Below are 13,841 nucleotides of genomic sequence, written 5' to 3' on the forward strand. Positions count from 1 at the left end.
TACTTGGGAGGCTGAGACACGAGAATCACTTGAACCCTGGAGGTGGAGGTTGCAGTGAGCCGAGATCATGCCACTGCACTCCAACCTGGGTGACAGGAGGGAAACCCTATCTCAAAAAAAAAAAAAAAAAAAAAAAAGACAGTAAAATGATAATTGAGGTACACTGGAGTTCTCCAGCAGGGCTTCCATGAAAGGGGTTTGGCAAGAAATCAGTGAACATAGATTCTAACCCCCTCAGCTAGAGAAGAAGAAAGGGAGGCCCAGAAGGTAGCTTGGTTTGGCTAGAGTCTCATAATTAGTAAGTGGTAGAGCTTGGATTTGAATCCAGATTCTGTGAATCACAGTCCAGTGCACCATCGTCATTACACCTGTATTTATCAAATGGGTTTCCTCTGGATCTGTGATGACCAAAGCAGTAGCCACAAGCCACGTATGGCTATTCAAGTGTACATATGAATTGATTAAAATTAAATAAACTTAGAAATCCAGTTCCTCAGTCTTGTTACATTTCAAGTGGTCAGTAGCCACGTGGCTGGTGGCTGCTGTGTTGGGCAGCACAAGTGTGGAACATTCCCATCATGGAGGAAAGTTCTACAGGACAGCTCGGCTTTGATGATACGTGTTTTGTGGACCAGGAGTTTTATGGCAAAAAAATAATGTTTGGATAACCCTTCATTCTATTTCCTCCTAGTGGAGGAAGTTGACGATACACATTAGCGTGGACACACTCAGATGTCCTGTGGCCAAAACATGTATTTGCTTCATTTTCTTTCAAATAAGTTTGACCATGAGCCAAAAAAGAATGCTGATCTTACAGCCTGAAGGATGTTCCCACTTCAAGGAACACAGTGGGAAGCTCTGCATTCCACTGGGTGGTTTTCCTCCTGTGGTGCCCTTGGACCATCGAATGGTGTAACAGGCTCAAGGATTCTCCCCTAGAACTGACTGCCACACGCCCATTTTGGCAGGACTGAACTGGTGTACCCTGTGTACACAGCGGGGTTGTTAAGAGACAGAGGGTATCCGCAAATGTCTCCAGGCAAAGATGGTCCTGCAGTCTTCCTCAATGCTGGTACAATATCTCACCAACCTGACAGGAAGTTCTTTTTGTGTCTAGTCACAGTCTGGCTTGCTTTTAGGCTGAGACTTGTTTCCTCTGCTTCAGCTCTTGCTGGGCTTTTGGGAAACAGGTTGCTCAGATGTTTGCTAAGCATCTACTACACACTAAGCACTATGCTAATACTGTTGCCTCCCAGCCCAGGGCTCTTCCCATTAGAATTATGACATTCCTTGACATTCAAACAGTTCCGTGCAGATGGCAAAGCACTTTCACTTAACATTTCTCCATTTTACCTCCCTCCTCCCCGGTCATTCCAGAGCTGAGAAAACAGAGTCTTGGAGGTATTAAGGGACGCCAGGTCGCACAGCTGGTACGTGGCAAAGCTAAGACTTTATCTTAGTCCTCTGATCTTCAAGCTGGCTCTTCCCTCTCCATGACCCCCTTCCACCATCATGGTCTGCACAAACAGCCCTGGAGCAGTGGTTCGAGGGTGGGCTCTGCCTGGCAGGTGCAGTGTTCAGGGAAGGGCAGAGATCTCTCTGAACAACATGTGCCCTTGTTCCCTCGAGCAGGGGTGCAGGACAGCTAAGCACAGACAAGGTTCTGGAGCAGATGTGCCTGTCCAGGTGCAGTAGGGGACGGCCCACATCCCAGCGGACTTGGCAGGCACACAACACAGAGCTGCTGGAACTCACCTGCTGAGGCTGCTGAGGGACTCCAGTCCCCACCCTCCAGGGCCAGAGCAGGGAAGGTGGAGCAGAGCAGAAGTTCAAGGGCACAGAGGATTAAAAATCTAATCAAGGGATGAGAAAATGAGGGACCGAAGGGAAATGCAGCTCAGAGCTCTGAAGGAGACACTCTTCCATCTTCCTTATTAATGCAGGGCTGAGAGATACTGTGAGTAGAATTAGGAGCAGAATCTAATTCTATTTTCCAGCCATGAAAATTAGGCATAACGGAGATAATTCCATGGAGAATCATGCCACTTACTCTCTTCCTTCCCAAAAGTAGATTTTTAATAAGCAGGTTTTGGACCAAGTAGAGAGAGATTGTATATTACATTATTTTTCTTTAATGGGAAAAAAAGAACATTTGCAAGTGCCTGTTTCTGATGAGGCTGGGGGAGGAGATGTGATGAGCAGCCCAGGTGTGGTCCTCCTGGTCAGAGCTCACAGAGCCTGAGGGAGTTGGCTACTGGGGGGCTTCCAAGGAGAGTTGGGGCTCACCACTGTGGGTGCCCAGGGCCTGTTGGTCAGATCACCCAGCCCTGCCGCGGATCTACCTGTTGACCTCAGGCTGGGCCCGAAGCCACAGGTATAACATGCCGTGTATTTCCCTGCTATCTTCCTACATGTCTCAAATCTTATTTTTTTTCCTTCTTTTTTTTTTCTTTTCTTTTTTTTTTTTTTTTGACAAGGTCTCACTCTGTTGGCCAGGCTGGAGTGCAGTGGCGCAATCTCAGCTCACTGCAACCTTCATCTCTCGGGTTCAAGTGATTCTTCTGCCTCAGTCTCCCAAGTAGCTGGGATTATAGGCATGCACCACCACGCCTGGCTAATTTTTTTATTTTTTTGTAGAGACAGGTTTCACCATGTTGGCCAGGCTGGTCTCGAACCCCTGACCTCAGGTGATCTGCCTGCCTCGGCCTCCCGAAGTGCTGGGATTACAGCTATGAGCCACTGTGCCTGGCCTTATTTTATTATTATTATTTTTTAATGCTTGCTTTTATATTTCTTTCTGAGTTTTTTGTTTGCTTGTTTTTGTTTGTTTGTTTGTTTGTTTTTGAGACGGAGTCTTGCTCTGTTGCCCAGGCTGAAGTGCAATGGTGCGATCTCTGCTCACTGCAACCTCTGCTTCCTGGGTTCAAGCGATTCTCCTGCCTCACCCTCCCGAGTAGCTGGGATTACAGATGTGAGCCACCATGCTCAGCTAACTTTTTGTATTTTTAGTAGAGACAGGGTTTCACCATGTTGGCCAGGCTGGTCTCAAACTGCTCACCTTAGGTCATCCGCCCACCTCAGCCTCCCAAAGTGCTGGGGTTACAGGCATGAACCACCGCGCCTGGCCTCTTTCTGAATATTTTAATGTCCTTTTTGTGGTTACATGGCCTGTGTCCCCACATCTTCTGCTACTTATTTTCTACCTGTGAGATCTTGGAAAAGTGACTTTACCCTCTACCTCTGTTGTCTCATGTATAAACAGTGAAACCTCGCTCCCGGGATGGCTGAGGGGATTCAACAGATGACACCTGGAGAGTGAATAACACAGTGTCCACACCGAGGAAATGCTCGGCACACATGAGTTTTCCTTTCCTCCCTTACTCTGATCTCTTTCAAATGAGGCAAGGCCAGACCTGGGAGCAAGAGTCAGCTGAGGTCGGGCTTTGTCCTCCTACCAGCCTGTGATCACCAAACGTGGCCCAGGCTACTAGAGAGGAGCAGACTTGGATCTCGAGGCAGTCCCTGCCCTTGGGGAGGATGTGCTGTCAAAGAGAACGGCAGGATACCAGAGTCAGCCAAGCTGCACCACCACTTGGGAGCTGTGTGACACGGAGCAGGTCAATCTGCCTCTCTGAGCCTTAGTTTCCTCCCATGTAACAAGACGATAATAATGTCTATTGAGGTAATTGGATGGGAAAGTAACTGGGCCCAGAACACGATACCACATTTAATTACTGTTATTTTATTCTGCAACTCTGCTTATGGCAGTGGGGGTGGAGGATGGGGAGTAGGCAGTGATACCCAAGGCCCTGGAAGAGTAACCAGGATGGTAGTGGGCCTTCCCTGTGCTGTCCCCCGGAGGCCCTGTGGGAGGCCTTTTGCTCATAATGATAAAAAATTAACCATGCAGCTCTGTGCTGATACCAGGAAGGTCACAGTCCTCCCATTACAGAGCACTTACTACGTGCCCAACACCATGCTAAGGGTTTTTATATTATCTCATTTAAATTTTAGATTCTCTTATTTAAACCGTATAACTCATGATAACCGTATAAGATGGGCTCTATCAACATTCTCATTATATGCAGAAGAAAAGAGAGATTATCTCCATCTTCAAGGTCACATGATTCCTGCTACCTTCTCTCCCAGCTTTCCTAAAGAAGACAGAGAAGTGAGGGACCATCTTTCCTACAGTATGGGACGACCGAGACCATCCCATGTATCAGAGACCAGAATGTGGAATCAGATAATCTGGGTTTGGATCCTGGCCTGTCCCGGGACCTCTGACCGTATGATCTCAGTCACTGAATTTCTCCCGCCCCAGCAATTCTGTCTTGACTCAGGGATAATAATATCCACCTCCCAGGGCAGTCAGGAGGATGAAATCAGTTGTGTATGTGAAGGAATTTAGGAAACACTGAAGGTTATTCTCAGAGCAGGGATGTCTACCAGGTCCCAGTAGCTGAGGCCCAAGCTGGAAACACATCCTGAAATCAGGAGGCTGATGGGAACACAGAGGCCGGGGTCTTCCGACACCCATTCTTGCCATTGTAGAAGGGACAGCCTCGATGGCCAAACACGGCCACCTACGGTCCACCTGTGAGCAAGAAGCCTCAGCTGGCTCCTCTCTCCCTCTCCTCTTGCCCTGCTGGTCTTCCCTGCCTGTTCCTGGAGCAAAGCTTAGGTGCAGGATGGGACAAATTTGGGATGCAGGTAAAATACGTCATTCCAGAACTTGAACTTGTTCTGTGCCCCTTCCCCACCTGGGGACACCTTGGACCCTCATCTTGTCCCTCTGGTGAGGGTTCGCTCCATGGAACAGGTCCGACAACCGCACACCCTGAGGCATGGGCACCTGGCAGGGGGAAGGGGAAGGTTTAGGTTTAGGACACTATGTGCCATATTGAATTCATACTATCTCATTAAATCCTCACCACAATCCGCAAAGATCAATCTTATATGAACTGCTTCCCACAAGGTTAAAAAGTGCTGGTCCAGGACCAAGGCACTACTCCAGCCAGTAAAGAGGGAAGGAAGCTTGTTGAAAGAGGTGTTTATTTTTATAATATTTTTTGATACAAGGGTCCTCTGTGTCCCCTGCAGACTCATCGCTTAGGTCTTGGTGTCCTTGTCCTGCGGCTGTGTCCACCCCTGGCTGTGCCTTTCCTTACCTCGACATCCTCCTCCCACCCCTCTTGGCCCCTGCCTTCCAGTTCCAGAAGCCAGCCTCCCTTCTTCCTCCCAGAACAGCCTGCCTGCCGACTCTCTCATCGATCCGTCCCGCTGCATCCTGAGCAAGGCTAATAGGTTCCCTAGGCCCCTCTCAGCCTTAGACTTGGCAGGCAGGCAGGCAGGCCTGCTGCTGGGCCATGGTCTGGAAGGAGAGGAGGGTGGGGGTGGAAGTGGATGGGGTGTGGGGAAGAGAGCAGCTTTTAACCCCTGTGATGGCAGCTGCCTTTGGTGAATCCCTTAGTTCCATTAAACAGATAAAGGTGAGGAGAATGACAATTCGAAAATGCCAAACTGCCCTGAAAACTCTTAATACTCTCAATGTAACTAAACCACACTTTTCCTAATGTAAATTTCTTCCACTGCCTAGAATTAAAAAGTATCCTCTTCTGATTCATAAAATTAGAGGATCTCTGGGCTGGAAAGACATCAACGTTTTACTAGTTCGACTTTCCATCCACTGGTTTAATTCCCTCTATAGTGATCCTCAAGAGGGGCTTTGGTCTTTCCTTGACTACCTCCAGTGATGGGGAACTCACTACCTCATGGGCAGCCCACTGCATCATAAAGGAAGAGTTATTCCTTACGTTGAGCTGGAGTCTGTCTCCCTGTGACTTCCACTCCCTCATGACTCCTGGGTTTAGTCCTTGAAGCTGCCAAGAGCTAGCCTGCCTCATGACAGCCCTTCCTTCTCTCCCTCTGGCCAGGCACCCAAGTCAGCTGCTCCTCAAGTGACATGGCGACGGTTCCTGCCTGGCACTGCTGCTCCCCTGACTTGTTAGGATTTAGTTACTTTCTTCCCCCACAGTCTCTACATCAGTCCAATCCAGCAAGCACCATGCACCCTGCCTGCACTGGGGTTATGCAGGGAAGTCTGAAATGGGCTCCCTACCTAACACTGAAATCATTTATGCACATACTGTATATTACAAATATATACACACACATCTATGCACATACACATACTTACGCATATACGTGCTCTCAAATACTTTCTATGGTTTAAAACCAAGACTATCTTTGGTGGGTTGGATAATCCTGTAAGAGGTGGGAGACGTGAGAAGAGGGTGGAGGCTGGAGAATGGAGAGAAGGTTTCAGGGAGGAGATGGGGTAAAGGGTAGTTGGGGGGTGAGTGGGAAACAAGGTTTGTTAAGCCCCTTGTAGTTGCCATCTTCTTAATGACCCTGTAATGTAGTCACTCCCCTTATTCCACAGAAAAGGAAACTGAGGCACAGAGGGGTGGGGCTGTTGCCATAGTAACCTGCCTGGCATTGCTGGGGTTGGCACTCATGTCCCCAGACTGGGTTCTTTGTGCTGAGCCAGGTGTGTCCAGGTTGGGAAATGGAACAACTGACTGATAGGCAATTCTGGGCGGGATGCGGACCTCCCAGAGGACTCGCCGCCTCCTCCTCTCTCCTGTCCCCGCCCCGCGTCTCAGCACACAGAGCATGTTATATGGGATGGGGAATGATGCTGTTCTTTGTTTAAAGGACAGCAGAACTCTCCAAGGGGTAGCAGGCTGGGAATTGATTGGAATAGGTCCCCAGTTTATCTGACATCTGGGGGGCTCTCTTTCCCTGGGAGTTTCGTGCACCTGCCATTTGCAAAGGAATAAAGCATCCCCGGCAGCCTCTGCCAGGCAGCACCATGCTATGCATAACCCTGCTGTCATCCCCCAGCCTTCCCTGTCTCGTCCCACTGAATTTCATTGCCTGTCTGAAGAATCCCAGGGAATTTGGCCTCTTTCCCAGTCAGGCTCCAAAGATTCTTCATGCTCCATTCTAGGACGTGGGGAGGTTGCCTTTGCCACCCCTTGCTTGTTCACCTCTCCAGCTGTGGGGCACCCTCACCCACAGCCTGCTCAGGAGATAGCTGAGACTCCAGATGCACCAGCTCCGTGGCCTCCCTCCACCTCCTTGTTAAGAGTGTCTTTTGGATCAGACACCCAGACCTTTGTCCAGGTAGGAGTTAGCTTTTCACATCATCTCTGAGGAAGAGGCGGTAAATACTCTCTCCACTTTACATATAGGACAAAATGAGGCTGCCCCCTAAAAAAAAAATTAAATTCAGGCTGCCAAACAAAACGGGGATGTGATTTGAACTTCATCAGCAACTTAGCTGCGAGTGCCGGGACCCTAAACTCCTGAGGGCAGGGACTGTATGTGACCCGTCTTCTCTGCCTGGTGTCCTGTCTGCACAATGCCTGGCACTCAGGACATGCCAGAGACTGTTGGTTGAACAGATGTGTCCTTGCCTGACTCTTCATCTGCCTCACCGCGCCTGCCCTTGGAGCACTTCTGGGAATGGGTAAATACAGGAGTAACATGGAGACCGTACATCCCACTTCCCGGCAGCCTTTCTCATACGATCACAGTGAGTTCTCATCCTCCTTTGCCCATTCTACAGATGAAGAATGGAGCTTTGAAGAGGTTAGACAACTTCTCAAGGTCACTTAGCCAAGGAGGGCTGACCCTGAGCTTGAATCCAGAGCTTTGGGATCAGGATTGGCAGGGAGTAACCTGGCAACATCAGTGCCACTGTTGTGGGGGCCAGTGGTGAGGGCCTGTGAGGGGCACAGATGGCGGCAGCAGAGAGTCTTTACAAGTCTCCATCGAAACCCTGTCAGGGAAGAGAGGAAAGGCCAGCATTGTGGTTTGCACAGCTGGGCTGTTTCTGAAGCATCTTAATAAATAACAGGCCTTCCCAGGGCTTCTTCCCAACCTGCCACAGCCTCCAGCTCCCTAGAAAGCCTTCTCAAAACAGGTGACAGGAAGACGGGTTGGCAGCACCTTCCCAGAGCTGTCTCTATCAGGCCAGTCCCTTGGGCTCCAACTCCACTACCCTCTCCTTCCTATGAAGAAAAAAAAAAAAAAAAGCACAGACACACAACCAGCATCAGCTTCCCTCTCCTAATCCCTGAGACACGTGTCTCTGGACCTTCCCAGGCACTGTGCCCACTGCCTCCAGCTGAGTTTGTCCTCCGAGGCAGCCTGGTCTCATGGTAAGAGGGTTGGATAGAAATCAGAAAACTGAGATCAGAATTCTGGTCCCAGCTGTGTCCCCGTGTCTCTGTTTGCTGAGTAAGTCATGTCACCAATCTGCAATGCGAGGAGGTGGATGGGAGGCTCTCCCTCCTTTTTGGCCTGGGTGGTGAGTAACCTATGCAGGAAAGTCTTCCGGGGTTGTAGTCAAGCCATCCCCGAGTTGAATATCCCATCAGCCAGTACAGAAACCAGCAGCACGGGGCCTTGGACTGGTTACAAAGCCAACCTTTCCCTCGCCATCCCAGTGTGTGAGGCCAGTTGCTCGTCCTTCCTACCTCCGATTCTCCTCTGTGCTGGGGATTATAATACTTTATGGGATTGTCGTGAGGACTTACATGAGATAAGCCATGTAAAATGTTTCGCACATTAACTGGAACACAATAAGCATTTGATAAATGTTGCCCTTATCATTGCTTTTGGGAGCAAACGCCTACGTGATGTCTTTTTCCATGGGAATTGAGACCACACTCTGCCTCCTGCACCCCCACATCACCCCCACCCCCCACATTTCCCTCCCCCACCCCATACACACATACCCTCTGCTGGCTGGCATGCCTTTCCAAAGACAAGGCAGAATTAAGACCCTCATGTCTCAGTGACATCATTCTGGAACCCCTCCTCCCACCAGGGCCCTAGGCATCAAATAGCTGGTGGGTGGGAGAGGAGGGAGTGAGGGAGGGCAGGGGTAGGTCCTTGGTGCACAGTCCCTTTTTTCTGTTTTGTTCTGGGCCCAGATTCTTGCCTGCTGGAGTGCAGTTCAAAGCCTGTTCCCTTATGATCATCATAATACTTTGTCTTAATGCAGCCACAAGGCTCTGAGGAGTTCAAAGCGTTTTACTAGATCTGTTTTCTGGGCCTTGGGATCTTAAGGGAATTGCTCCTCCACCTCCAAAATGAAAACAAAGGCTCTTACAGAGCCCAGTGTAACATTTGTGAGGGTTTAATGTGTCCGAGGCTCGGGCCTGAGCCCTTCACACGTGGCCTCTTGTAATCCTTGCCTTGGACCTGAGTGCTGGCTGCTGTGATAATTCTAACTTCTCAATTGAGGAAACTGAGGCCAAGACAACTGGCCACATGGAGAAGTCCATGAATTAGGGAAGCAGACTCAGGCCTGGTGGTCTCTGAACCCAGGTCTTGGTCTCTGTGCATCCTATCCGGCTTTCGAGGGTGGTGGGGAGGAGGGGGGATTCTCTTATTCCACCCAAGGGAGCTTCCGTCTCTACCTTAAAAGAACGTTCTCGAGGGAGTCAGGGGAGGTGATGGACTCAGAAGTGTTCTTTTATTTTAGATGGGATCATTGAAGCCCAAAGAGGCTGAGAAACCTGCTCAGGTTATGATCTGTCTCCTTAATGCTGTCAGTGGGGCCAGACCCCCCGACCCCACTTCCAGCCCACATCTCCGTGCCTTCCTGCTTCTGCCCAGGTGTCTCTAGAGGCAGCTCTGTGGACCCTCAGGGGCTTCATCCTCTCTCCCCTCCAGGCCTTTTAAACCTAGAGAAGCTGCTCCGGCAATTCCTTATCTCCAAGGACACGCTGTCCGTCCGCATGCTGGATGACACCCGGGACCCCACCCCGCTCCTCAAGGAGATCCGGGACGACAAGACCGCCACCATCATCATCCACGCCAACGCCTCCATGTCCCACACCATCCTCCTGAAGGTGGGAGCCTCCCTCTCTCCCCCACCCCCTGCTGAGCTCCACCCTCCCCCCTCCTTGCCTTGAGGGTCCTCCTGAGCTGAGGCTGACGGAGCCCCGGGCTGGACCTGAACTCTTACAAACCTCTCTCTGTGCTTCTGTTTTCAATGAGCGGTTCCCGAAAAATGAAAGAAGAAAGCAGGGTGAGGGTGATGTCGTTTTCAGCACTGGGGCAGCAGGGCAGTAGGCAACGGAGACACCTAGATGCTGCCAAACTTAGACCCTGCTAAGGGCTCTGTGGAGAGGTCTGCGGGTTCCTAGGAGGGGCTAGGGTGGGGCACCTAAGGGGCTTGGGCAGAGGCTGTCTGCCAAATGGTATAGAAATGGTTCCGTAGTTTAACAACAGGACCATCACACCAGTGTGTACTGCTGAATGCCAGCTCTGTCTTTAGTCCTGACACGGTGCACAACAGTTACACAGCACTTCTGTGTAGTCGATCTCCCAGCGTAGAGCTCTCAGCAATGACATGAGGTAGGTATAATGTCTTCCCTCACAGAAGAGGGAACTGAGACTCTGGGAGATGAACAGATGCGTCCAAGGCCCAGCCCTGAGTGGAGCAGGGCTGAGCCTGCACAACCCTCTCTTATCTGCAAATCAGGTAGTGTCTCCTAAGCTCCTGGAGTTGGAGGGGCAGTGCCAGCCCCTGAGTCAGAACATGCACACTGGAAACCAGAACTCTGTGAGTGAGGCTGATCCAAGAGAGAGAGACGTCGGGAGCCTAGGGGCCCCACACAGGACAAACTGCTGGAAATAGCTGGGTAGCATCGGAGTCACCTGACGTCAGTTCCTGGGCTGGTGGCTGGGCTGGGCATGAACTTCGGAGAGAACGGGCCCCGTTTCCAGGCTCCTTGGCGGCTCCCCCAACCTCTCCAGGCGCACTGGCCTCTTCTAATGCCATTTTAATTGCACGTTTAAGCACAACCTGCCGTCTTCCACTGGGGGAGCGAGGCTCCTCGTTAACCTCTGCCAAGCTGTGAGGAGCCCGCAGACACTCAGATGATTGTCTCCCCTCCTTCCCTCCCTCCCTCCCAGCTGCCCCTCCTCAGCTCGTTTTTGACTCAGAGTTAATAAGAGATTTGAATGAGTTCTCTCAGTACTGAGGGCTGTCCCTTCAGCCCGTTGCTATAGTAATCTTCCAGAGCTCCAAAGCCATGTCTGTCTGTGTGCGTATACCCAACTCACATTATCTCTCTCTCTTTCTTTCTCTCTCTCTCTTTCTCTCTGACACACACACACACACACACACGGAAACACAATATTTTTCTCTTTTCTTCCTTTTCCTCTGTTTTCTCTTATGCCTGGAGCCATGATCAATGAAGTCATTAAGGGTAGAAAAGCTCCACCAAGTTTCACGAGAGGAGAGGGGCCCTCTTTAGGGAAGGTTGGGAGCAGGCAGTGAGAGCTTCAGCTTAGTAGATAGATGTCCCTCCACCACCCTTGTGGAAGGTAGCTCAGAATACACAGGTTCCCCCTGTGGTAGCTGGAGCCTGCCTGAACAGCCCCCAGGTAGAAGCTTCTGGGGGCCAGCCTTGTGCCCTCCATAGCTCCCAGCATCTGATGTTGCACTATTATTTTTTTTATTCGAATAGCATTACTAGTTCATTGTTGAAATTTTGGAACATATAGAACAGAAAGCACATAGAAGAAACTAAAAATTATTCACAATCCTATCACCCAGAGCTATTTAACCACTGTTAAATTTTGATGTCTGTTTTTTTCTGCTTTACAGACACATTTTTCCCCCAAATTATTGTCATACTGCACAAACTTTTCTGTAAGCGCTTTTTGTCCACACTTAATTCTATGCCGTGCATTTTCCCCATGTCATTAAACATTTTTCTAGAAATATTTTAATGGCTGCCTCATTTCCTATCATACAGAGTTCCCATAATTTATTTAACCATCACTTTATTGTTGGAGATACAGGTTGTTTCAAATCTTTTGCTACAATAAATAATGCTGAGGTGCACATCTTTGTACATAAATCTTTATACACATTCATGAATATTTCCCCAGCATACATTTCTAGAAGTGGAATTACTGAGTTAAAGGTACGCATGCTTTTAAGGATTCTGATATGATTTGCCAGATTGCATTTTAGAAAGGCTGTAACAGTTTACACTTTCGCCAGCAGCATATAGGTGTCTTATAGCACCCTTGCCAATACTGGGTATGTTAATTAAAAACACTTTATAGGTGTGTGTGTGTGTGTGTGTGTGTGTGTGTGTGTGTGGCCATGCTTTTGAAGGAAGCTCTGCCTGTAGTGTAGTGATCATTATTAGCAAATGGTTCTGCTCGATGCCTCAGGGCTGTCTTTCCTGAGCTCACCTGTCAGCCCCAACTCCTGTGACATTGGAGCCACACTGATCAATGAGCAGCAAGGCTTCAGGAAAGCCTGTTCCCTTTGCCCATTTGCCTTCCCAATGGCCCAGGCAGGCAGGCGTTCCATCAGGCCTGGCCTCTGTCCTCATGCTTCCCTGGGGCTCCGTACTCTTCCCTCCAGGAGGGCACAACAGGGCCTCTCAGGGCCTCAGCAAGGATGGGAAGCAGAGTGGGCAGGGAGCACACGGGGCCTCTGGGAGACTCAGTGTGCACGTGGGAGTCCAGCCCCTAGAGCTTGGCAACACTCTGCCATCTCTTGATTTCAGGAGGATTTGCAGAGCAATCCCTGATTTTATTGAGCGGCTGTTCCAGCAACGAACTCCATGTTTACCCAGAAATCAGGCCTTAAAAACCAAGGATCTCTTGTCTTTTATCTCTAGGACAGCAGATTTCACAAAGCGGGTTTTAGCTCCCCACTGTGACCCCGCCCGGACCCTCTGCCCCCAGCCTGTCGCTGTAAGCAGCGGGCTCGCTCCGTGGGTCGCATCCGTCTAGGCAGGGGTGAGATGCAGCAGCACTCTTACTTGGACAGTGTGATTGTGTGTGTGCAGTGGGGCGTAGGATGGGTTGGTCATCTTGCCACATCATCCTCTTGAAAGTGAAGGAGGAAATATAGCTTGGCCTGGAGGAAGAAGGAGCCTCACCAAAGAGGCTTTGAGCTCCCTTGTGCCCTGAGACTCCTGCCCCAGTCACTGAGCATTTGCCCTCCAGCTTCCCATTGGAACAACCATGATAGAGTTACCCCCGACCTGCTCCTCAGGGAGCCTGCAAGTGTTCCTATAAGAATCCTATAAGATTACAGGCGCGGTGCCTCACGCCTGTAATCCCAGCACTTTGGGAGGCCAAGGCAGGCAGATCACTTGAGGTCAAGAGTTCAAGACCAGCCTGGCCAATATGGCGAAATCCCATCTCTACTAAAAATACAAAAATTAGCCAGGTGTGGTCGTGGGTGCCTGTAATTTCAGCTACCTGGCAGCCTGAGGCAGGAGAATCACTTGAACCCAGGAGGCGGAGGTTGCAGTGAGCCATGATCGCGCCAATGCACTCCAGCCTGGGTGACAGAGTGAGACTCTGACTCAAAGAAAAAACAAACAAACAAAAAAAGAAGCTCACAAAATTATTTGAGTTCCTTGGGAGATGAACACTATGTAAGAGGAAAAATGTAATCATCCTTGGTCTGGTTTCTCCTCCATCCACCTCAATAGTCATGACAAAACGGGTCTCCCAGTGGCCCAGGGCTGCAGAATACATTATGAAAATCTAGCCGACTGTCAGGAGGGATGAGGGTCCCCAGAGAGAACGGGGCTCATTATTTTCCTGATCTACGTGTCAGTTTCTATAGTACCTGTCACACTCAAAGCCAGGCACACTGACGGGGAAGGTTGGCTAGGGGTATTTATGACGGGTACAAAGATCAGACAAAAGGGAGACTCTTCTGATGTAGCAGTTCTCAACTGTGGAGTGATGCCACACTGATGCGCTGTGATCAA

General features: G+C 50.0%; 1 protein-coding gene across 22 annotated transcripts in view, besides 1 other annotated feature; it reads left to right on the forward strand.

The window, feature by feature from the left end:
• Positions 1–13,841, forward strand: part of GRIK4 (glutamate ionotropic receptor kainate type subunit 4) — a 477,159-nt gene that overhangs the window by 310,351 nt on the left and 152,967 nt on the right. For 18 of the 22 annotated variants that reach the window (NM_014619.5, NM_001440404.1, NM_001440403.1 and 15 more), the window contains one exon: positions 9,754–9,932. In NM_014619.5, the coding sequence (NP_055434.2) occupies positions 9,754–9,932 (179 nt within the window). Of the gene's footprint in view, positions 1–9,753; positions 11,818–13,841 lie in introns of those variants that run through there. The other 4 variants (NM_001440416.1, NM_001440419.1, NM_001440417.1 and 1 more) reach the window with 1 other exon arrangement.
• Positions 12,121–12,621: an enhancer, noted in NCBI's record as "H3K4me1 hESC enhancer chr11:120704928-120705428 (GRCh37/hg19 assembly coordinates)". NCBI's record gives its function as "activates a minimal SCP1, AML or CMV promoter by ChIP-STARR-seq in primed H9 embryonic stem cells {active_cell/tissue: H9 hESC(primed)}" and the evidence as "EXISTENCE:reporter gene assay evidence [ECO:0000049][PMID:30033119]".

The sequence above is a fragment of the Homo sapiens genome, chromosome 11 (assembly GCF_000001405.40).
Source record: "Homo sapiens chromosome 11, GRCh38.p14 Primary Assembly".
Taxonomy (NCBI): domain Eukaryota; kingdom Metazoa; phylum Chordata; class Mammalia; order Primates; family Hominidae; genus Homo; species Homo sapiens.